General features: G+C 36.0%; 1 long non-coding RNA gene across 4 annotated transcripts in view; it reads left to right on the forward strand.

Annotated features, from left to right (window-relative positions):
- LOC105378797 (uncharacterized) overlaps positions 1 to 26,376 on the forward strand; it is a 396,491-nt gene that overhangs the window by 183,509 nt on the left and 186,606 nt on the right. The gene's annotated exons all lie outside the window — the stretch shown is intronic.

Genomic DNA, 26,376 nt, shown 5'->3' on the forward strand with positions numbered 1-26,376 from the left:
TACATCGTATATTTGCTTTTATTTCTGCTTGCACACTTGCCAATATTTCCCCCCAACCTACTCTCCTTCCTTCAAAATCTTGCTATACACAGGAAATAACAATCAATATATGCTAACATTTTGGCTTTTTTCCTGAAGCTTTGAGGCACTTTGTCTTTGAAGCAATTCCAATTTATGTTCCAAATGTTTTGCTAAAAAATAAAAGAGATATTCAGTGTCCCAATCAGCTATATCTGTTTTCTCATTGTCTTCCACTGGACCACTAAACCAATGCCACAAACATTATATTTGTGTTATGGCAATAACTAAGTTCAAAATTCAATTTTTATATTAGTAGGTATAACACTAATGTTTGTAACAAATAAACTAAAAACAGATAATGACTGAAATCATATAAAAGTTTATTTCTCAATAACATAAAAGTCAAAGGAGGGATTTTCCTAGTATGTGAGGATTTCATCTACCAGCTGCTTCAGGGACTCAGATCTTTCTTTCATTTTTTTGAGGATTGTTCATCTTCTGAGAAGTTATAATCTGAACCAGATAGCACAACAAGAAAGATATATAGCATCAAATCTAATTACCAGCCTTGGGCTAGAAAAGTTACACATGATTTCAACTCACACTCCACTGGAGGAAACTCAGCCCCATGATCCCAACTACTACAAGGTTGTCTTGAATTTGTGCAGTTACTCAGTGCCAAATGAATGGAGGGGTTAAGAAAGAATAAGTAAAGGTGTTTTTGTTTTTGTTTTTGTTTTAGATGGGGTCTAGTTCTGTAGCCCAGGCTGGAGTGCAGTGGTGCAATCTTGGCTCACTGCAACCTCCGCCTCCTAGGTTCAAGCAATTCTCCTGCTTCAGCCTCCTGCGTAGCTCGGATTACAGGTGTGCGCCACCACACCTGGCTAATTTTTTTTAACTTTTAGTAGAGATGGGGTTTCACCATGTTGGCCAGGCTGGTCTCGAACTCCTGGGCTCAAGTGATCCCTCTGCCTCAAATAAGTAAAGTTTTTGTCTGAAAAGGCTAGTAATCACTTAAACAAGAAAGGTATAATGTAATTTCTAAAAGTTAAAAATGCAGTTTTATAATTTACATTCTAATATAGGGAAGACATCCTCCCAGGGGGATAAATGTAACAACAAAAAACATCAAGAAAGAAGAGAAAGTAAAACATGAGAAGATGGGAAAAATATGAAGCATGAAAAGATATACTAAATCTGAATATATCAGTTGTTACAGTAAATCTAATTGTGCAAAATTTTCCAATTAAAAGACAAGTTTATATGACTGGATTTAAACATAAATACACAACACATACACACACACACACACACACACACACACACACACACATCCCAATCAAATTATAAGCTGTTAGGAGCAATCACACTTAAAACCTAAAGATACAGAAAAGTTGAAAACAAAACAAGATAAAAGTAATATGAAACTGAAATAGCAAAAAAGAGCTGTCGTATCTATTTTAATACTAAAAAAAGAATATTATAGTGAAAGCATATTTACAAATAGGAAATTTGAGGGATAAAATGCATAATTCTATGCTTTTTAATCTAAATTTATAACCATAAAAAAATTTAAAACTATAAATATGTAATATTTTAATAGTATTATACAGGCTTGAATTGAAGGATATATTTGAAATAATGTACTCCACAAGTGAAGAATTCCCATTAGTTAAAGTCCATATAGATCATTTAAAAAGGATTATATATTGGAACAAAAGATAATCTCAAATAATTTCAAAGGATTTAAATTATACATATTCTCGGATATTATTACATTTTTGATATATAAATATTAAAACATAACTAAAATATTTTCATGTATTTGGGAATTTTTATTTTGAGATGAAATTCTCAATAACTCATGGAGCATTAAAGCAATCATAAAGAGAATTAGAAAATACTGTATACTTAGTTATAATAAAGATATGTGAATACATTTTTAAACTGTATTCAAGAGAATTTTTAGCCTTGAATGAAATTATTAAAAAATAAGCCTGAAAACTTAATGAGATAAGCATTAATTTTCTAAAGTAATAATAAAAGAAGAAAAAGCAACATGATCCTCCAAAAATAATGTAATAAAGTAATAACATTATTCATAAAATAATAAGTTTAAGAGGGAAACTTATCAAATACAAAAATATGTAGTAAAGTGATTCAGCAGCAAATAGTTAGATTTGAAAAGATAAAGAGTTGATAAACTTATGGCAAGACCAATAATAATAAAGGGAAAATGAACAAATAATCAATATTTGAAGTTACAAAGGTAAATACTCCACAAATAATACAAAATAAAAAGAAAACTATGTATAAATTTATGCCAATAAATTAGAAACACCTTTCTAATTTTATTTAAATTGATATTTTAATTGAAATAAATGTTATTGCAATAAGTCTACCAAAATTGACACAAGAAGAAATGTAAAATACAAATAATCCAATTACTATCAACTAGGAATAAGGATTAGAATATAAAAAAATTTATTAGTCTAATAAAAGGTGACTATAGAAAGCCTACAACAACAAACATCTCAGTGTGGAAATACAGAATACCTTTTCTTTAAAATAGAGAACAGTACAAATTTATCCTTTTACCTATCTCATAAAATAATGTAAGAGAATGTTAAAAGGATTAGAAATGAAGAAACTAAATTGTCATTATGTGCAGATAATACGATTGTGAACATACAAAATTAATATACAGGGTCCAGGCATGGTGGTGGCTCACGCCTGTAATTCCAGCCCTTTGGGAGGCAGAGATGGGAGGATTGCTTGAACCCAAGAGTTTGAGACCAGCTCTGGCAACCTAGCAAGACCCCATCTCTACAAAAAAATTGAGAAAAACAAATTAACTGGGCATGGTGGCAGTCACCTGTAATCCCAGCTACTTGGGAGGCTGAGGCAGTAGGATCTCTTGAGGGTAGGTGTTGGAGGCTGTAGTGAGCAATGATTGTGCCACTGAACTCCAGTCTGGGCAACAGAGAGAATCACTGTCTTGAAAAAAAAATGGAAAAGAAAATAAAAGAAAGGAGGGAGGGAGGAAGGAAGGAAGGAAGGAAGGAAGGAAGGAAGGAAGGAAGGAAGGGAAGAAGGAAGGAAGGAGAAAACAGGAAGGAAAAGAGTATTCGTGTACAAATTATTACAATTAATGAGATAATTGAGAGAGCCTGGAACAATATTGGAAACTAATATAAAAATCACTTGCATTTCTTTACACAAGTAACAATCAAAATAAATATCTTCAAAAAGTAATTCATAATAGCTGTTGAATATTAGATACTTAGAAATAAATCTAATAAAATCTGTCCAAGATATTTTTGTGAAAACAATCAAACTATAAATCTTAATCATTTGCATGCCTGCTTCAAGTGATTCAATAGGTTTACATTGCCCTCAAGCATGATACCAATTCCAGTTGCCCCTTAATGTGTCTGTCATACCCATCTATCCTGCTTCTCATTGAATTATTTCTCTTAATCACTTTACTCCAGTGACATTAATAACTTTTAATTCTTTATTATGCCCGGTACATTCCTTCATTTGAACCTTCACACTTACAGCATTTACTCTGCCTAAAATGCTGTCCCTTTCCATGGATGCCACATTTACTGTTTTAGGTATCAGTTAAAATGTCATTTAATTAAGAATTCTTTCCTGATTCCCCTTTCTAAAACAGGTAACCTCCCATTATGTTTGTTCTATCCTGTACCTGTTTATTTTTCTGCATAGTATATATCAGAGCTCACAATGCTTATTTATTTATTTATTTATGGCTACATCTCTATGACAACATAATTTTCATGAAAGGACGCTCAATGTTTTATTCATTGCTATCTACCCAATCCTTAGAATGGTTCCTGAAGCCTAGTAAGTATTCAGTAAATATGTGTTGAAAAAATATATATGAGAATAAAGAATTATATACCCTGGGTTTATGAGAGCTTTGTAAACAACAATGGGAATACAGTATTTTTTTTTCTATTTGGACATTGTTTCTTCTATAGATACTTGCCTTAGAAATGCAGGATTTACTAATCCCTGGATCTTTTGGGCAATGTCATCAAATTCCTAAAACAAACGAACAAACACACCTAAACTTATCCCTAATTCGAACCAGATACCTACACTTAGATTTGTTTATTTTTTCAGAGTATTTCAAGTCATCTTACTTGTCTTCATGAAAACAACATATATGCAAATCCACTTTCTAAAACTGCAGCCAGATAAACTTTTTAAATGACTGGTTTGGATATGTTACTTCTATGCAAGCAAATTCCTCCCTCTGATTCCATTTGCATTACTTGTGGTATAGTAAATTCAATCCTCTGGACCGTGGCTTACATTGCCCTGCATGGTATAGTTCTTGCTCAACTGTCCAGCCTTACCTCTCTGCACTCTTCTGCACAAACCTCCCAACACCGTCAACTGTTTGAATGTCTGAAAACCACAGTGTTCTTTGTGATTATCATGCTTTTGCAAATGTTATCCCCATTGCTGGAACATTTCTCTCCTTCTACACTTCTTACCTACCTAATTTCCACTCATTTTCCAGATTTCTCCTTACAGATCTTTTCCTTCAGAAAGCCTTCCCTGAATCCCCAAAACCTGATTAGGACACCCATCTATTAATTGTCTTTTCATAGCACTTGCCGTATTTTAGTTGTCTTTTACTTGTCTACGTCCACCACTATGTTATAGCCATTGGATCTTACTGTGATATTCTCAGAGTTTAGCTTAGAGCTTGACTTACATAGTAGACAATACATTTTTCCAGAAGGGGGAAAGAAGGGAGGAAGAAAGGAAGGGAGGGAGGGAAGGAGGAGGAAAGGAAGGAAAAAAAGAAGAATGGAACAGAGGAATGAGAGAAAAAAAAGAGAAATGGAGGAAGGAAGGAGGCGAGTGAGGGAAGGAGGCAAGAAGGTAGGCAGCGAGGGAGTGAGGAAGAAAGAAACAAAAAAGTAAAGGAAGAAACATGCTAGGAATACATTAAGGCAGTAGTTGACAATCTTTCTCTAAATGTTTAGAGTAAATATTGTAGATTTGGTGAGCCACAAGATCTGTCCCAACTATTCAACTCTGCCATTGTGGCACAAAAGTATGTCATGTTCCAATAAAACTGTGTTTACAAAAATATGTACCAGGATGGATTTGGCCTGAGAGCCCTGGTTTGCTGGCCACGGCATTAGGGGCTTTATTTACCTTATTTTAATTAATTATAACAATAACTTTTTGAGAACAATGAGTCCAAGAAGAGAATGTAATTTGTCCAAAGCCACAGCCACTAAGTGATGAAGTCCTAGGTTACCTTACTGCCACAGAGAAGACAGTAGAGAAAATGAGAGTCAGAGTACAATGGAATATCTACTTTTGTTACATCTTTGTTACAAATTAGAAAGCTTCAGGATAACAAGATTTGCTCAAATTCCTATAGATAGTATTTAAACTTAGTTCTTATTGACTGAAGATCTCAAGTTCTTGTTGGCACATGCAGATTTTATTGAATTAAAATACATTATTTCTGAATTTCCTGCTATTTTAAAAACTGTTGATCTGAAGACGCTTTCATAACAATTCAAAATTTCAACTTATCTCCTATTGTTCTTCCTTTTGTTCCTTTTAATAGAAAATACCAAATAAATTAATAATTTATTCCAGGAAACTAGGTTACCAATAAATATTGCTTAACTTGAACATTTTTGCAAAATATAGCCATACTGTCTAGCATTCAGGAATACAAACAAGCAAAAAGCAGGAACATACATTTTATCACTCTTATGCATAGGTACAGAGATTTTATATTTGTGAGGACAGAATCTAGAGGAAGAGTATACATTTTTAATTGGAATTATGTGTCCATGCCAGTGAATTAAAAAAAGTGTGAATATAGGCACTGAATAATAAAGCTAAACAGTATCAAAATAGAATTTGTGCTAAACCTATTACTGTAAATTTTACGCAGTGTCTTTCAGGTTCCACTGACATGACATCCATCAATTTGTAAAAGTGAAACAGTGTTGAAATCAATAGCTTAGTAATCCAATATAATGAACAAGTACTCTAGGAACTTGTAAGGACCTGGACGTGTTGAACTTGAGTCATAAAACTTTTAAAAGTCTTAGGACTGAATCTTCCCATTACTATATTTAGGACTTTGGACAATTAATTTACTCTAAATTTTGTTTTCCTAATCTATGAAAAAGGAATGGTTACAGGTTGTAAAGTTCAAATGCTGTTAGAATAGCAATATCAGCTGAATCCACTAATTCCATCATTTTCTAGCTATGTTAAAGAAGCTAAATTTTTTATGTTTGTCCATCAGTTTGATTTTGGCTAAAGACCATAGTACATTAATTACTAATGATGTAAATTGACTGGCAGATGATAACAAAATTTCACATCCTGTGCTGAAGTCTTTGGAGCAAAGCTTTGTAAACAGAATCGATAGTTTTATTAGTAAAAAAAATGAGATATTGGCATATGAACATAACACTACTACCAAGTTGGCTGGAGGGTGGAGGGAATGAATCTTCACATGAATCAGAATATAGTTGAGGATAGAGACACTGTATTATATTATTTTTGCAACTAATGGGAAAATCTGGGTTAAGAGTAAAGCCGGTGGTCAGGAGAAAGAGCAATGTTAATGATGACCTACAGCAAGGTTATATTAATAGAAGTAATGGGCTATGTAGACTGACCTAGCCAGTCACAGATAATTGAATAAATATATTCATATATTATACATATATAATATATAGCCAAATAAATATTTAAGTGCAATGAAATTTTACCGTATACTCATGTAAGTAAGACCTTGATTTCACATTTGCTAGATAATACAGTGTAAAATGCAACCTAGTTCAAAGAGATTTGTTTGTAATCTTGACATTGCTATTAGTTATATGGTTTTATTTATATGGCTAATTGTGATTAAGTGTAAGTACTTTGTCTTGAGCACTGTTAACTAAGAAATTTGAACTAAGTAATATTAATATAATTGTGTGTTTAATCAATGCTAAAAACCTTGTTAAACACTTGACATGCATTATCTCCTTTTACTTATTAAAACAACTGGCATCACATATATGCCTTAATTACCCCTTTTTATTGTTGAACCAACTGAGGGTTATGGAGCTGAATTTCCTTGCCTGATGCCACGCTGCTAGTATTAAAGCACAGGCATTCTGACTGCCAACCCCAAACTCTTAACCATCATACTATATTGGTTTAAGGGGCTCATTATTTCAGACATGCTACCACTTTAACAATTTTTGTATTCCATGAGAATTTCTGTGGCTACTATCCTAGTTAGGCAGACAAAAGAAAAAAAAGTTCCTGATAAAACAATTCAGCAAGCCCCTCTAGGCTCATATTAATGAGCCACATCAGGTGAGACTTTTACACTAGGTAGCATAGGTGGCTGCAACTGAGATTTGATCCTCTCTCTGGCAAAATATTACATAATTTAAATATGTCTTGAAGAGGCCTTTTAAAGGTGAGCTGTTCACCAAGAGAACATACTTTTTTTTCCTCTTACTATTCCTTTTTTAGCAAACTGTCACACTCAACTTCACCATTCCTCCAAAACATGAAACTAAGCCCTTTTGAGCAATTTCAAACATTTCCACAAATGAATAGGCATAGCAATGTGTCATGAAATCTTGCCAATGTACAATGCCTACATTTTTATCACAACAATATATTTATTTATTTAAAAGCTATTTTATTACTTCTTTATGATTTCCAACATACATTTCTCTTCCCATTATAAAAAGCAGTAATGTGAGGAGAAAGGTGTCAGCTGAAGCACAGATTGCAAGCATTCCAATTTCCAGTGAACATAACAGACCACACTGATCACAACTTTGTATGGGGAAAATTATTTGTAAAATTATTTTTTGCATGTGTTTAAATATTATTCACAATGGGAAAATCTTTTCTATAGAAATGCTTTAAAATAATATGGCTGGCTGTTACTGCGGGAATGTTTTCTTTTAAAAAAACATAGCCTTTTATTATCACATATACTCTTCATCCTTTTCCATTTCAGTTCTGTCTTGGTAAAAATGAGCAAAATAGAAATTTCAGTATAATTTTACCATTCACATTAGCAAGAGAACAATAGCAAGCGGCTTTGAACTGCTTCTCCATCTGGCATTTCAGTTACTGTTTAGATTAATAAGTACAATAGGAGGTGAAATTTTCTGGGCCAGAATTTAATGGGGCTCAGCACTGCTCCTTTCAGAAAGGGCCCATCCACCTGTGAACAAAGCCTTCTGTCTATTTCCGTGGTCCTGACTAAAGTGACTGATGAGATGTGAGTCTGTTTCAAGTTGCAAAAGGGAAGGACTTACATTCCAGTTAACTACACTGTCTTCTTCTGATACGAATTATGCCAGCTGAGATAATCAATAACTTATCAGGCTGCTGAGAGCCCATTAGCATGTGGTTAAAATGCTAGTGTTCACGGCAGTATTCTTCAATGTGGAAAGTGGCCCTTTGGTATAACACACTTCAATATTTTAAGCTCAATAATAATAACTCTTGTTTAACAAGATATTAGATTGACTCTTATAAATTAGAAGATTGTTTTCATGATCTGTGTAATCTACTATATTAATAAATATAGAACTGAAGGCTCTTGGCACAATTCATTTCTCACTTCCACTTACAAGTGGGCTCTAAATATAAGGGATCAGGCTTACCCAATTAATCAGTGCACTGAACAACATGTCTACCTGAAGAGAATGTAAAACCACTGCTTTTAGAAAGTGTGATTTAAACCGTAGGGCTAAATTAAAGAGCTTTTAAAATACAGAGATGATTATCCAGTAACAGCAAAACATAATTATGTGTTTTCCTTTATTTTTGGAAAGTTTTTCCAGAAAAAAATAATTTAGAAGAGAATGGAAACTTACTGCTGTCATATTTTCACATTAACAAGAAAATGGCAAGAATAAACAAAAACAGTCCAGTTGGAAATGTTTAAGATCCAAAGATTTCCATTTGCATCCTCTAAGTGACAAAGACAAGGTTTTGCGTCTGGTGTCTGTATAGTAACTGAATTTTTCGCTGTCTACCCCTTAAATGCAATTCTGATTGTGCAGCCTTAAGAAATAACAGCTAAGTGAATGAGCAGGATGCGGTATTTCATGTACTATTCCCACTTTGGGATTGTCATATTGCATCTGTGGGATTAAATGTTTTAAGAAGTTGTCAAATTTAATTGGCGAGTTTGCACAGTTCTGGTTTACTGGATACATCACACACCAAGATCTTTTTCTTTTATCACTTTATGTTAACTCTATGATTTAAATATTGCCATCTGTGAACAAAGCCTACGGAATTAAGGAAACAGCTTTAGTAAATTAAAATCTTAACTGATGCATAATTTGAAGATTTTAACATTGTTTATTTGATGTTTGGTGTATTTATCTTTCTTTTCTTATGGCAGGTATCATATCTTGTACATGTTCAGCACAGCAGAATGCCCTATAAACACTTCAATAAGCTTAAAGACTAAAAAAAAGAAGAAAAAAATTTATAACATCAACAGCAGACACGCAATCCTTTTAAGAATAAGGGCAAATGCTTCAAATAAATGCTTCAAATGAAATCTAACTTTCTTCCCTACCTAGGAAGCCTGCACAGTCTAAGACCTAACACTCCATCTCTCATTCCACTCCCTAAATTTTCTTGCACAGTCTCACACATCTCGGCTCTTCTGTTTTTCACATGTGTAGCTTTTCTTCAGATCTTGACTCAAATGACACATCCACAAAAGGCACAGAAGTTCTTTCCAAACATCGTAAATTGGCCCCCTCCAGTTATTGTTAATCATTCCCCCCAAAATGTTTTTCCTTCAATGAATTATCAATAATAATAACAATATATTTAAAATGTTGTTTATTTATACATTATATGTTTACCTGCAAAATGTGAGTTTCATAAGGACAGGGATCATGATTTTTTGTTTGCTTGGTTTGTTTTTGTTTTTCTGACAGTGCAGATCCAGCATTTGGTAGAATGCTGGAGAGTAGTTGTGGAGGTAGTAGTGATAGAAGGAGGATGAAGGGAAGAAATCATAAAATTGTTTAAAAATAAAAATAATGCTTTTAATAGCTAAATAGCTAGAATGTTCTGAGCGCTCTATGAACCAGGCACTATGCCAGGGGATTTTCATTATCTTACTTAGTTCTTAAAACAATTCTCGGAGGTAGATGCAACTAATACCTAAGGTTGGTAGAAGAGAACTTGAGGCTTAGGGAGGGTAAGCCACTTATGTAGGGTCACAAAATTAATCGAGTTGGTGCCAGGATTCACACTTTGGCCATCTGATATCAGAGCCCATGTGAAAGTGGTGGTTAAATAAATGAATGGTTGTTAAATGGATGTGTGACTAAAGGAGGGAAGTAGAAAGGAAGGAAAGAAGGGAGGAAGGGAAAGAAAGAAGGAAAGAAAGACATGCTGCCTATACTAGTGGTAACTTGGCAAACCATGTTTTTTAATGAATTCAGACCAAATACCTAATGACTTGGAATAATCTATCTTTTTAAACTGTGAGTTCTGAGAATGAGAGATTGAAAGATTTCCAAATAAGTTTCAGGTGAAAATAATACTCTTAACTGGTGCAGCTATTTTCACTACCAATGACTATTATAGATAACTTCTGAGAATCAACATTGTGAATGAGGCTGCACTGTGCCTAACAACAGAACAACTGTAGCTATTTCCCTAAGGCCCATGATGGGTGGAACATTTCCACCCAGCCTGGAGGAATGCAATAACAGTAGCAATAATAATAATAATAATAATAATAATAATAATAATTGAATTAGTGTTTGTATGTACCAGTTTTGTACTGAACACCTTAATTCTGCATAATCTTCTTTAACCCTCCTGCAGTCCTAGGAGGTGAGACAGAATCACACAGCCCTCAGGGTCAATGGAACTTGAACCCAGGATTCAGATGCAGACATTTGACTCCAGATCTGACTGTAGATTTTGCAAAGTCACTCTCCAGAGGTCTTATATCATCTCTGTATAAAGTTGAAACCATGGAAATAGGGAGAGTTAATAGGAATTATGAGGTTTATAGGCAGGCATTATACATGGGTTACCTCAATGAATCTTCACAATTTGCAATATTTCTATTTGACAAGGGCGGACAATGAAACTCACAGAAGCTGAGTAACTTGCTTAAGTTTATCCAGCTAGTAAATGGTAGGATCAGGATTTGATCCCAGGGCTGTATGTCTCCAAAGCCCATGGTCATTTTTTTTAAGCCACAATATTTCATGGAGCTTATTGTATATTGTAGGCTTAAGAGAAAAGAGAAGCAGCAGGTTTTCTCTATAGTCCCCAGTAATTATCTTAATGCTAATTCTGGTATAACTCTGAAGGCTAAAATGGCTTGATTTACTTCTCTCGAAATTGTTATTTTTTAAGATGGGTGATATCTGTGAGTGCAATAGCTTTTATGGAATGACTATTCTGAAGAAGAGGCTCTTCTCTAGGAGTGGTACCCTGCATCTTAAGAGTATATAACACAGTTTCCCTTTGAATTAGTTTATTCCAGAAAAGCATTATTTATTGTAACAACTATATATTTTCACACTGATAATAAATGATGTACCATTTGTAATAAGACTTTGGAAGGAGAGGAATGTATAAGCTCAAATGTGTAAATTTGGAAATTTGGCTAAAATATAAAAAATCTCTTCTGTAGCTATAGTACTATGATATTACAGAATGAATATATTATGTCTAATCTAAATCATGAGTTATAGTTTATTAAGGAGCTCATATTATATTCACCATAAAGTAATTAAATAGTTTCACCTTGAGCTATCATTCTTTGAGGATATTTAATAACGTAAAAAAATGACTTCCTGCTGCCAGGGATTGAAGAAAAAAAAGAAAAATAATAATGTAAAAAAAAAAAAAAAAAGACAATGTCATGTGCTGACATACATGGGTCCTGTTAAAGCACACTAAATATGGCCTGAGAAGGACTCCATACTTCTATATTTGAGTCCTTGTGGATGAACCATAAACTAGCTTATTAGGCAGAAAAAACTGAAAACTTAACTTAGGAGTGTGGACCTGTAACAATAACTGAGTGTTGGCCCATCCCAGTGGCCATACTTCAACCACTCATCAATTGCTGAGTGTTCAGACTAGGTTCAAATAATGCAGGTGCTGAGGTGTAACCAATCCAGCTGTTCTACACCTCACTTCCAATTTCTGTATGTCATTTCTCTTTTTTGTCTATAAATCTTCTTCTGCTATGTGGCTGCAATGGAATCTCTGAGAATTTCCTGTGATTCAGGGGGCTGCCCAATTCACAAATCATTCATTGATCAATTAAACTCCTTTAAATTTAATTCAGCTGAAGTTTCTATTTTATCATTCTTTGCCTAAAGATTGCCTCACAATCAAAGAAGGAGGGTGAGGGAGTGAAAAACACAATAAAATATATGCTATCTTTATTGCTGCATGGTCTTAAGTTATCACCTATAATGAAGATGCTTAGAGTTGTGCCCTGAACTGAAGAGAGAGTCTACCTGTATTAGCCTGTTTTCACATTGCTGATAAAGACACACGTGAAACTGGGCAATTTACAAAAGAAAGAGGTTTATTGGACTTATACTTCAACATGGCCTGGGAGGCCTCACAATCATGGTGGAAGGCAAGGAGGAGCAAGTCACATCTTACATGGATGACAGCAGGCAAACAGAGCTTGTTCAGGGAAACATCTGTTTTTACAAGTATTAGATTTCATGAGACTCATTCACTATCATGAGAACAGCACAGGAAAGACCAGCCCCCATAATTCAATCACCTCCCACTGAGCTCCTCCCATGACATGTGAAAATTATGGGAATTACAATTCAAGATGAGATTTGTGTGGGGACACAGAGCCAAACCACATCATTCCACCCTTGGCCCCTCCCAAATCTCATGTCCTCACATTTCAAAATCAATCATGCCTTCCCAACAGTCCCCCAAATTCTTAACTCATTGCACCATTAACTCAAAAGTCCACAGTCCAATGCCTCATCTGAAACAGGGCAAGTCCCTTCCACTTATGATCCTGTAAAATCTAAAACAAGTTAGTTACTTCCTAGATACAATGGGGGTACAGGAATTGGGTAAATACAAAGTGGCTACAGGCCCCATTCAAGTTCAAAATCCAGAAGGACAGTCAAATCCTGAGGCTCCAAAATGATCTCCTTTCACTACATTTCTCACATCTGGATCACACTGATGCAAGAGGCGGGTTCCCATGGTCTTGGGCAGTTCCTCCCCTGAGGCTCTGCAGGGGACAGCCTCCCTCTCTGCTGATTTCACGGGCTGCGGTTGAGTGTCTGGGGCTCTTCCAGGTGCACAGTGCAAGCTGTCAGTGGATTTGCCATTCTGGGGTCTGGAGGATGATGGCCTTCTTCTCAAAGCTCCACTAGGGTATACCCCAGTAGGGACTCTGTGTGGGAGCTCTGACCCCACATTTCCCTTCCGCACTGCCCTAGCAGAGATCCTCCATGAGAGCCCACCCCTGCAGCAAACTTCTGCCTGGACATCCACGTATTTCCATACATCCTCTGAAATCTAGGTGTAGGTTCCCAAACCTCAATTCTTGACTTCCGTGCACCCACAGGCTCAACACCACATGGAAGCTGCCAAAGTTTAGGGCTTACCCCCTCTGATGCCACAGCCTGAGCTCTATGTTGGACCCTTTCAGCCATGGCTGGAGTGGCTGGGACACAGGGCACTAAATCCCTAGGCTGCACATAGCACAGGTACCGTGGACCCAGCCAACAAAACACTTTTTCCTCCTAGGCCTCTGGGCTTGTGATGGGAAGGGCTGCCTTGAAGACCTCTGACATGGCCTGGAGACATTTTCTGCATTGTCTTGGGGATTAACATTTAGCTCCTCACTGCTTCTGCTAATTTCTGCAGTGGGCTTGAATTTCTCCTGAGAAAATGGGATTTTCTTTTCTGTCACATTGTCAGTCTGCAAATTTTCCAAATGTTTATGCTCTCCCCCCTTATAAAACTGAATGCCTTTAACAGCACCCAAGCCACCTCTTGAATGCTTTGCTGCTTAGAAATTTCTTCCACTAGATACCCTATATCGCCTCTCTCAAGTTCAAAGTTCCAGAGATCTCTAGGGCAGGGGCAAAATGCCACCAGTCTCTTTGATAAAACATAACAAGAGTCCAGTTTGGTCCAGTTCCCATCAAGTTCCTCATCTCCATCTGTGACTACTTCAGCCTGGACCTTATTGTTCATATCATTATCAGCATTTTTGTCAAAGCCATTCAACCAGTCTCTAGGAAATTCCCAACTTTCCCACATTTTCTTCTGAGCCCTCCAAATTTTTCCAACATCTTCCTGTTACGTAGTTCCAAAGTCACTTCCACATTTTTGCGTATCTTTTCAGCAGTGCACCCCTCTGCTGGTACCAATTTACTGTGTTAGTCCATTTTCATGTTGCTGATAAAGACATACCCAAAACTGGACAATTTACAAAAGAAAGAGGTTTATTGAACTTACAGTTCCACATGGCCTGGGAAGCCTCAAAATCATGGTGGAAGGCAAGGAGAAGCAAATCATATCTTATGTGGAGGGCAGCAGGCAAAGAGAGCTTGTGCAGGGAAACTCCCATTTTTAAAACCATTGGATCTCATGAGGCCCATTCACTATCACAAGAACAGTGCAGGAAAGACATGCCCCCATAATTTAATCACCTCCCACCGGGTTCCTCCCATGACATGTGGGAATTGTGGGAATTACAATTCAAGATGAGATTTGGGTGGGGACACAGCCAAACCATATCACTACCTAAGCCCATTCTAGTATGAAACAAAGAGGAAAAATTCTGATTCCTAGTATTAGCCAGTTATATAAATTTGGGTAACTTTTATTTTGTCACAGCACTTCCTCATCTATTAAATATTTCCTCATCTATCAAATGGAACAATAGGATTACTTTCCAAATAGGATTGGTACATAATACCTGAAGCCAGAAATTTTCCCTGACCCCTTCACGGGCAGGACCTGGAGTGTATGGACACTGGCAGGGGCGAACTACACTCACTCAAACCTGCTGCACTCAACCCCTCACAGGAGGAGCAGACGCAGAAGCCCAGGTGATCGCTTTTGGGCACTGGCAGGAACAAATTGTATACTGGCCCCACAGCAGCATCTAGGGGGGTGCCTGTGATCCCTGAAGCCCCAGAAGCAATGTTACAGTCAGTGCTCTTTTAGCTTTGCCATCTGCAGGTGGCTTAAGTGTTGACAGCTCAATGGAAGGTTAGCGTGACAGCCTTTTGCACCTGCACCCAAGTTCTTATCTGGTGTCTAGGAAGAATGAGGTCACACAAACAAACTGGAGATGGTAAATGCAGGGGCTTTTATTGCCAAATAAAGTGGCTTTCAGAGTGAGAGGGAAGGGAAGCTGGAAAGGGAACAGAGCTGTGAGGTAATTTTCTGAAGCTATGCCATTAAGCCATCCCTGTGAAGTCAAGCTGCTTCTCTGCGACATCGAATTGTAGTCTTTAATGTCCATGTGCTCCTCTTCTTCTCCTCCCTCTGGCAGCAGAGCCTGGGTTTTTATGGGCACAGGTTTGGGGTTCAGGGTAGGCCATGGGTGGTTTTGGAAAAGGCAACATTTGAATGGGAAAATAGGAATGTATGTTCTCACTTTGGGCCGAGGTTCCAGGCCTGAGGGTGGGGCCCTTGCTGCAGACCCACCCTCTTCTGCCCAGAATTTCCCTGTCTTCTGTCTCTTTCATAACCACTCTGTAATGGAAGAAATTGTTAAAAGTATTATTTTGCATTTTCTTCCTTTGAATCCCCATATGTTGCAGTATGAGGGCAGAGCCCCTGTTTTATTTATCTCTGTACCCTCAGTATCTTGAGGCTGTCAATGAATATTTGCTGCAGCATGGTATATAGCAGTCAGTTTAGACCTTAGCATGCATCAGATTCACCAGATTAGCTTGTTAAATAAATAGATTCCTAGGTTGTACTCCTAGACTTTCTGATCAGGTCTGTGGTGAGGCCTGACAATTTGTATGTCTCACAATTTCCTAAGTGATGTTGCTGCTACTGGTCTGGCAACTATAATTTGAGGACAACTTACATGTGGCAAGAAATTAAATTGGCATTCAAGTCAAATATACTGTATTAAAACTTCACTATAATACTTGGTAGTATTTTTAAACATTGTAAGTCACTTAAATATTTTCGTAGTACCACTCCTCGCCTACAAGAAAGAAAGTGCACATTCAGTATTAAATCCGGTTTTCTCACAATCCAACAAATTATCTATGCTTTCCGTGTCCTAAGATTGGGTGACGTGAGATAATCCCATTCCACTCCTGTCGGCAGTAACTTTGAAAGGCCCTGTTCCTCCTCTATCCTTCTCCTGACTGCTGATATATAACTAGAAATCCTGCTCACTATACCCAGACAGCCCAAATTCCTGCTCTGTTCTAACCATCCCCAGTTCCTGGATGAAATTTTCATCATATCTATGCCTTCTTTTTCAATTTGCATTTAATTCTTAACATAACACTGGCTCAAAATTTGTCACCCACTCAGAGGTCATCTTATCTCTGGAACTGTGAAAGGTACTGTACTTTGGTAAATACAACACCTTTTTGAAAAGTATACAGTCTAGTGAATTCAAGAGAAAGGTCAAAGCTTAAGTAAATGAAACCGAGTGTTATCTATACAATGATATTTGACATAAGGAGAGTCTTTGAAATTCCAGGAAGAGCGTAAAGAGAAAAAACAAAATGCCCTTCAGAACAGACACATAAAAGGAAACCACATGTCTTTAGAAGGCAGAAAGAAAGAAGTGCACTTTGCTACACTATACTATTAATTGTTGTACTGGTTAGTCATTCAGACAGAATTCAAATCACTTCTAAAATTTTGAAAAAAGTAGACTTTATCTCTGGCCCAATTTACCTGCAACTATTTTGAGACAGTGTAAGATTTTTTTAAGACTGTGAAGATTACCAGCATCATAAACTTGTTACTCTTCTATCATGCAAGAATAGGCTGAGCTTAGTTGGAGGCCTGTAGTTTAAAATTCATCATTTCGCTGTACAGTTATGACTGTGCAAAAGAAGTGTTTGCATATCGTGGGTATTTTTTCCATTGTTTTGCAAAAATTCTTAACCAAGTTATAAGGAGATGAAAAGCTATTTTGGTCTGTATTTGAAAATCTGTATATTAGAGCACATTTATTATATATGTAAATAATAATAAAATAAATTTCATTGTTTCTGTTTTTTACTTTTTCCTCATACTACCATTTTCTTACAACAGAGCCTAACATAATTATGGCTGTTCATTTAAAAAGGTTTGGAGATGGTAATATCTAGTGAAGTGAGATAGACCTCAGCAAAAAAAAAAATCCACATCTGCAAATAACTGGTAGGATACATGTTAATGAGTTGTTTCTGTGGTCCCAGTGCCTTAAGTGTGTTCAGGATCCAAATCTAAATGCAATGTGCTTTTGAACACTAAAAGTGACAGGGCAAAATCTGGGTGGCTTATCACTGGTGAAAACAGGTGCACACCATCTCTTTCATTTCATTGACATGCATTCTGCACCATTCATCAACCTGATTTTTTCTTCTCTAGCCTAACCTTTTGGTGACAGTAAACATGACTTGACAGAGGGTCCAACAAAGAAATTATGTGATCTTTAACCTTTTCTGGTTTGTGACAGGTTTGGGACACATCTGGACTAATCCATCAGGGAGGGAAGATTTCTTTAGAATTATAATATGACAGTGATCTTTAGGAGCAAACAGGCATGTGTTTGTGTAAAGTCCCTTTCAGTTAAATCTAAATGAATAGAAAATAATGATAATGTTCAGCCTAAAGAAGCCCATTTTCCTAGGGTAAAAGGAACCTTCCTTCTCAAATGAAAGGCAATAATAGTCCAGCATACATTAAAAAAAATATGTAGCATCTACTAGAAAAATTGTTTATAAATTGGTTCTTATGGATTTATTATTGAATATAGATATGTATGTAAATGAGAAAGCAGACACTGTAGGCAACTGTGGAATTTAGTCATGTGCAGAGTGAGGATCATTAATTGTAAATATGCATTTGTGTAAATATATCTGTAGGTGAAAATGTATTTATACATGACGAACTTTTTAAACTATTTCCTCGAAACTATTTGTCCAATATAATTGGATGACTAAATACCAATGCAGCTACTCCCTAGTTTTGAAATAAAAGAGAAGAAATAGAATCAAGTATAAATACTCAGAGTTATCCTATGCCCTGGTGCAAAAATGGGTCTTTTCTAATCTCTTTGTTTTTGTTTTTTTTTAATCAGAATGATTTACATATGAATTTTATTCTGAACTAGAAAAAAAACTATGAAAATCCAGCTCAGTGATCTCTCAGAAAAAGTAGGAAAAATAAGGCATTTTACTCCTATCAAACACTATACTGGTTTAAAATGCTTTTACTCACTTTGGCATATAACTTTACATATTGAACTCCCAAACCACAATTAAACAGAATTTTCCTATCCCTCATTCCCTTTACATTTTGCCTGACTGTCCCAGAAGACTAAAGAATAAACTGATAGTCTCTACTGTCTTATATTCTGAGATAACTGAAGTCCCTCCATTTTTTTAATGGGAAACATCCAGACCTTCTTTTGTTTTAACCTTCGAAGGAAAACATTAAATTCCTACATGTGTGCTTACAATAATGATTTTAGTAACATTTTGGGTGGTGAATGGAGATCATATTTGAGCTGATTAGCAATTTAATCCCTCAGTAAATGACAGGAAAAATATTCCTATGGTGTGGGATACTTGGTAGAGGTGCTCTGCCAGGCTAAAACAAAATGTAGCCACAACTGTTTCCTGATTATATAGATTTGTAGCTGAAATAAATAGATGTTTCCCATTATTATCTAGTAGAATTAATAGGGATCCTTTAAAACTACACCTACCACATGACTAAGTTACTTTTTATAAGTTCCTACTATGTTTCTGTGATGTCATATATCCAACTGTAGGCTTAGTTCACGATGTTCTTCAGCTCCTTTCATCAGATGATTTTTAAGATGTATTTTATAAATAAATATTTTAGGCCTCAGATCTCACCTCTCAGTTTCAAATGAAGGCTTCGTTTGGATTCTGTCACTGATTTAAATCAAACACTTGTAAACTATTATTTAAGCACATGCAGAGTTTTCTAAACTACTGTTTGAGTCATAAAAAGCTCCTTCATTCCATTTTATTTAGAATTTGTAAAATAATGTACTACTTTTTAAAGTCAAAACGACTTTCTAATTACTTTCCTGCAGTTGGCTTCTAACATACAGTGAGTAATATTTCTTGTTAGCTAAAATTAAGTTTAAAAATCAGTAACAAGTCTACAGAGTAGTAGAAGATTTTCATTTATAAACATATCTTCATGAAATGTAGGTTCTCAGCCTAGGAAAGGCTTGGTGGAAAGCAGCCAGGGTGTTATAGGGAACATATTTCCAGGGATAGCAGCAAGAGATCATCAAATCTTGGCATTTTTCCTAGAATTTATCCTGAGCAGTTTAAGGAAAAATAAATGTGGCTATACACAGACCCTGGTGATAGGGCATGGTGTATTAAGTAAGGCTAAGAGATTGGTTGAAGATTACATATTGACTAGCCCTTTGGTGACAATATCAGGTAAGGGAATTAGGGAAATCTTGGAAGTCTCCAGGTGTGGCAACTAACCAGGGGCCTTGAAAACACTACAGAAAACTCCACATGGGCCTGGAATATTTCTGTTGCATTCACCTTTTTAAACCTAGTTCAGTACTGCATGTAGTGTTGGAAAAGATGAGTGAAAGGGAGGTAAAATTTAATACGTCCATAATCTTCTCCATGGTTGCTCTTATGCACTTTGAGCCACCCCAAATAAACAGAGCGCCTATGTAAGACTAGTCTTCTTGCCAAGCAAAGGACTTAAAAATAGTCCTTTAGACCTAAGTCCCCCTTCATAGATATTCTGAAGCTTTCAACAATGATAAAGTAGATGCTCAGGAAATATTTCTCAACTGAATAAAAATATTAATGAGTGGGTAAAATGAGTGTGGGGATGTTGAGCCAAACTTTAGTTTTCTAATTTAAAATGATCTAACTTTTAAAGCTTAGGATTTCTCCTGGGTGTAGTGAGAGAGTAGGGTAATGGTGTGCTTATAATTGTTTTAACAATGGGTGGTGAACCCATGTGACAATGGTCAACTCAGTCATTTGGGCTGAATTAATAGATATGAGCCACCATAGCATGTTTGATGTATTCCGAATCTGTTTTCAAGTATGTAGCATCAACAAATAAAATTACACCAAGGTGTTTATAAGAATTTTTCAAAAGCTTAGAAAAGACTTTGATAGTTACCTAAAGTATAGTAAAAATGCCTCCTTAGATAGAGGAAGGAGAATTGCTGTGTTAAGAATAATAACACTGCATAGTGATACATAAAAAGGGAAGGCAACAAAATTTCATAGGAGGTAAACCAATTAACTGAGAATTTCTTATTTTCTGCTAATGGCAGTCTGCACAGCAAGGAAAGCCAACAAATTATATAGGGACCCGAGAACTAAATCTAATATAGCTGCTACTCTAGTTTTTGGTTAAGGAAAATATGCTTTGTCAGTGTCCATCCAGTGTCTGACTAGTGTATTAATGGTGAAAAGGAAAAGGATACGTAATAATTAGCCAATCCTAAAGTTGGTAGTGGTTGACCATCGGCATAATTTAACTTACCAAAGACACTTTAATGTTTTTTTTTCCCTAGAGAAGATTCAAGAATTAATTATACAAATGATATGCAAACTCAGAAAAAAAAATTGCACACAGTACCTGTAATATCCAGCTAGTCATAAAAATTTCTAGATTTGCCTTTTGGAGTTGATCTAGAAAAATTCCAGATATGTGTATTCTGTCAGAGATTAGAGATTTCCTTTCTTAGAATATATCATGTGATAAAGAAACTTTCACTGGTAGAATGGCAATTTCTCCTTAGAGGCTTTATGCCTCTTCTGGATTAATGCTTTTGACAAATAGATGGAAATGATCTTAGATCTTTGTCTTTTGGGGTTTAAATGAAGATCATCTATATATTGTAAAAGAAGGATGTCACGATGAAATTTTATACTCTTTAGGTCTTGATTAAGATAAGTAGAAGGGGGCTTCTGTAAATAATTGATGTATAATAGACATGGCATGTGTTGATTTTTCTATGACAGGGCAAACAGATAGTGACTGTTCAAATCTAGAGGAACAATAAAAGGACATAGCACAAGTACACAACAGCAAAGTAGATGGATTTAGGCAGTACTCAGAGCAAACTAATATTTGATTTTGAGACCACTGAAAAATAGTGGATCACAATTTTGTTTATAATACTAAAATCTTGCACAAACATGTATCTATGCATACTAGATTATTTTTTCTATGAGCAATACAGTTGTGTTACAAAAGCTAGTAGAAGGAATAGAAGGATAACTTTTTGCTGAACATACCACAGTAAATCCAGACCTTCTTTTGTCTTAACCTTCAAAGGATATTGGGCAGGACTGGGTAGAGGATGAGATAAATCATTTATTACTTAGATGGGATCAGCGCCTAATAATTTCAAGATACCAGTATATTCCTTGGCTTAGAAGATACCAGTATCCTCAAGCAGTCCCTCAAGTTGTGATTGGGTTAAGTATCCAAGAATGAAAAAATAAACATCCCCTTGAACTATTAGTGTATGGTGCATGGGTCACATACAACAGATTTCAGGTATTTCAGAAAACAGTCCATCTAGAAGACGCTTGATTTGAAAGCTACCACAAAGGAATCTCTCAATAATAAATTTGTTTGGATGTTATCACAAAGGAAGAATGAATGTTGGCTCATGGGAAGGTTGAGAGGTATTGTTATATGCTGAGTGATGGGGACAGTCTGAGGAGTATTTGAAAATGCTAACACTCCAGTAGTCTGAAGATTCCTAAGAAAGTCACAAAAATAGTGGTAGGACAGAATAGTACCCATGCTATTTAGAAAGTTTTGCTTCTGCCTCTCTATTATTAGAGATGGTTCTCTTTTATGGTTTAATAGAATCATTGGAAATTGTGTGCTACAGTCTCCCTTGGAGTCCCTTTCATAACGTTTAGAAACTTTTATTTAGTTCTTTTCTCCTTTTTATTAAGATGAAGCAATTAATATTTCAGTTACCTTTTTGCTTGCAAAACCAGCAAAGGTCTTGTTGAACATGAGACTTTTATTGTTTCTTAAGGTTGTGGGAATTCTACATTCAGCTGCTTTATTTTGAAATCTGTAAGTTTAGTTTGCGGGTTGTATTTTTCTATCTAAATTATTTTCAGTGCATTCAGCAAAAGGCTGAAGTTTGTATTGTAGAGTGATCTGCCATCCAAAATTTTGTTTACATACAAAATCTACAATATCTGGTTTTAGGCCACCTACAAAAATGTTGGAGAGGGTAGTGGAAATGCCAGCATTGGGGCCTAATGCTGCATATTATCGAAAGGCATGTATTAGTCTATTTCTGAGTTCTGTGGTTTTACAATTTTGCTGTTTGCAAGAGTGAACCAATATGCAATTTACTGGGCAAGACCTGAGGTATATTCTTTAAAATAGATTGTCCCTACTTCTGTACCCTAACATATTCCATTTCATTAAGGTTTATTGCATTACATTTTAAGTCCTCCTCAGAACGCTGCAATTAGGCTTTTCCAAGCAAGTTTTGCATCTCCTGGCCCCACCTAAAAATGCATTAATCGATAGAGGTCAGGGAGGCCTTAAGTATATGTATCCAAGACAAATCTGAATGTTTCAGTGAACCTTTTTTTCCTTTCTGTCCTGGGATCTGTGAAGTTCTTAACAATGCCACAGGGATATATATATGATTAGGGTTTTAAGTTCGTGGACTAGGAATCTTCTTCATAGGAAGCTTTAAATTTTAATGAATGTTTCAGGAGAAAGGGGAAAGAATGACTAAGAAGTCCATGGAGGATGAATTAAATTTATGGGGGAAGAAGGAAGTAAGAGAAAGGTGTGATACAAGTAGGAAAGTAGAACTGAATTTACCTCTTTTCTCTTCCGTCTCTAGGGAGTCTTTTAGGGAAGCACAAATGCAGTTCAGATGGTATTTGAAAGCTTTCGCATACCAGTTAAGAAATGCAGACAATTTAACAGTCAGAATTTTATTTTTGTATGTTTTGAGGTTCCTCTCAAATGTATATTCCTGTTCATATTTAAAAGTTCCAAAAATTTTCCATTACAATTTGAAACTTTCTCCAAAGTGAAATTACCTTATTTAGTGACAGGTATGCATAAATTAGTAAAATAGAAGTCACAGTAATACTAATGGAGGCATAGGCAAAATAGAAGAAAGCTCTTATAAGGTTTTGAAAGTGGCTCAAGGGCTGTTTGTTTACAGTGCACCAGTCTAATGAGATCTTCTGAACTTGGAGCTGGCTCTAATATGAGCTTACAGGCCATATGTCTGTCTTCTCATTGTTGACTTCCTTTTATAGACAAACAAGACTCAAGAAACTGTACAAACAGATGATAGAAGAAATGCCAAAAGTCAAATTTTATAAGGTAAAACATATAATGTGGTTAAAAAGTCAAAAGCCTAGACATCAAACATAAATTTAAAATTACTGGACTGAATGAAATATTTAGAGATCAGATTCAACACAAATTTATCTTTTGTCTCAGAATATTTGGCCTTGAACAGGTGGATTTTTAGGCAGTGTCACATGTGCACACTATTACTGAGTTAGAGGACTTGTTCTGCAGCAATAGATGTTTTAGCTGAATTTTGGTGGAATTTTCACTTCTGTTGATGCCTACCAGCCACTGACTACCAGGAACATACTCATAATCAAGCAAAATTAGATGCATCAAGAAAGAATGAACCGCAGAGGAACATCAGGAGTCTCTCAGAGTTATAGGAATGGCCTCGAAGCTTTGAGCGTGGACTGGAAGATTCTAAAGCTTAAGGAAGCAAGAATCAGTTCTGAATTTGATGATGTCAAAAAGTGTGTGTAATACAGTGGCTTGGCATCTTAAGAACTTACATCTGAAGCAACCAAGATTCCCTTCAGTAGGTGAATAGATAAATAAGCTGCAGTACATCCAGGTAATGGAATACTATTTAGCACTACAAAGAAATGAACTCACTATATCATAAAAAAAGTGGAAGAAACTTAAGGGTATATTACTAAGTGAAACAAGCCAACCTAAAAAGGCTATATACTCTGTGATTCCAACTATATCAGAACTATATATTCCAACTATATTCTAGAAAAGGCAGAACGCTGGAGACATAAAAAATATCAGCTGTTGCTAGTAATTAGGGGGGTGAGGGGGATGAATAGGCAGAGCACAGATTATTTTTAGGGCAGTGAAAATACTCTGCATAATACTATACTAATGGTGAAATATATGTCATCATGCATTTGTCCAAACTAATAGTGAACCCTAATGTAAACTATGGACTTTGGGTGGTTATGATGTGTCAGTGTAAGTTCATCAGTTTGAACAAATGTACAGCTCTGATGAGGGATGTTGATAATGGAGGAGGCTATGCATTTGTGAGGGCAGGGAGTATGTGATAAATCTGTACCTTCTGCTCAATTGTACTGTGAACCTAAAAAAAGTTTAAAAAGTTAAGTATATTTTTAAAAGTTAAAAACTTATGCCCAGAGGGGTGGGAAGATTTAAAGGAAACTAGCAACAGCCTGGACAGCATAGTGAGAACCTATCTCTAAAAAAAAAATTAAAAAAATTAGACAGGCATGGTGGCACATACCTGAAATCCTAGCTACCTGGGAGACTGAGGTGGGAGGATTGCTTGAGCCCGGGATGTTGAGACTGCTGTGAGCTATGATCACAACACTGCACTCTAGCCTGGGTAACAGAGTGACATCCTGTCTCATAAACAACAACAACAACAACAACAAAAACAACAACAACAAAGGAAACTAGCAATCAATCATTTAAGTTAGTGAAAGGGGGTATTTAAACCTTTTTGTGGTTGCAGAGTGACCTTGTCATATTCTGAGTATTGCTCCTGTTCTGTCAGGTATATCATGGTCTGAATGTCAGCAAGGGTGCCCTTCATTTTCTCTAATTGTCAGAAAGGTATATTTTCAAATTATCACACTGTAATGTCATTCTTCAAATTAGGCTATAGAACTTTATTATAGGAGAAGACAACACTTTATCCCAATTTTTCATTAAGATAAAATCTCTTTGTAGTATCCAGTATGAGTTTATATAACATCAAATTTCTTATTACTTTTTAATTCCTTTATTTATTCTTATCACGTTCCAAGTACTTGTTTTAACCTAAAGAAGTATAATAAGTCAGGAAACAACAGGTGCTGGAGAGGATGTGGAGAAATAGGAACACTTTTACACTGTTGGTGGGACGGTAAACTAGTTCAACCATTGTGGAAGACAGTGTGGTGATTCCTCAAGGATCTAGAACTAGAAATACCATTTGACCCAGCCATCCCATTACTGGGTATATAACCCAAAGGATTATAAATCATGCTGCTATAAAGACACATGCACACGCATGTTTATTGTGGCACTATTCACAATAGCAAAGACTTGGAACCAACGCAAATGTCCATCAACAATAGACTGGATTAAGAAAATGTGGCACATATACTCCATGGAGTACTATGCAGCCATAAAAAATTATGCATTCATGTCCTTTGTAGGGACATGGATGAAGCTGGAAACCATTATTCTCAACAAACTATCCCAAGGACAAAAAACCAAACACCGCATGTTCTCACTCATAGGTGGGAATTGAACAATGAGAACACTTGGACAAAGGAAGGGGAACATCACACACAGGGGCCTGTCGTGGGGTGTGGGGATGGGGGAGGGATAGCATTAGGAGATATACCAAATGTAAATGACGAGTTAATGGGTGCAGCACACCAGCATGGCACATGTATACATATGTAACAAACCTGCACATTGTGCACATGTACCCTAGAACTTAAAATATAATAAAAAATAAATAAATAAATAAATAAAAGAAGGAAGGAGTCTGGGTCCTCAGATAATTACATGAAGAGCCACCTTCCAACCTTGCACTGTACTGTGACATGAACAAGAAATTAACCTTTAGTGTTAAGCCACAGAGACTCAGAGGTTGTTTATTAAGCATGTAGTTAGCCCTGACTAATAGAATCACAAACATTTCAGTATATTTTTCTGTCTCTTTTCTAGGTACATATTGAATACAGTAATGGTCATATTGAAAGTATATCTTTGTAT

Source organism: Homo sapiens, chromosome 1 (genome assembly GCF_000001405.40).
Source record: "Homo sapiens chromosome 1, GRCh38.p14 Primary Assembly".
NCBI classification, from domain to species: Eukaryota; Metazoa; Chordata; class Mammalia; order Primates; family Hominidae; genus Homo; species Homo sapiens.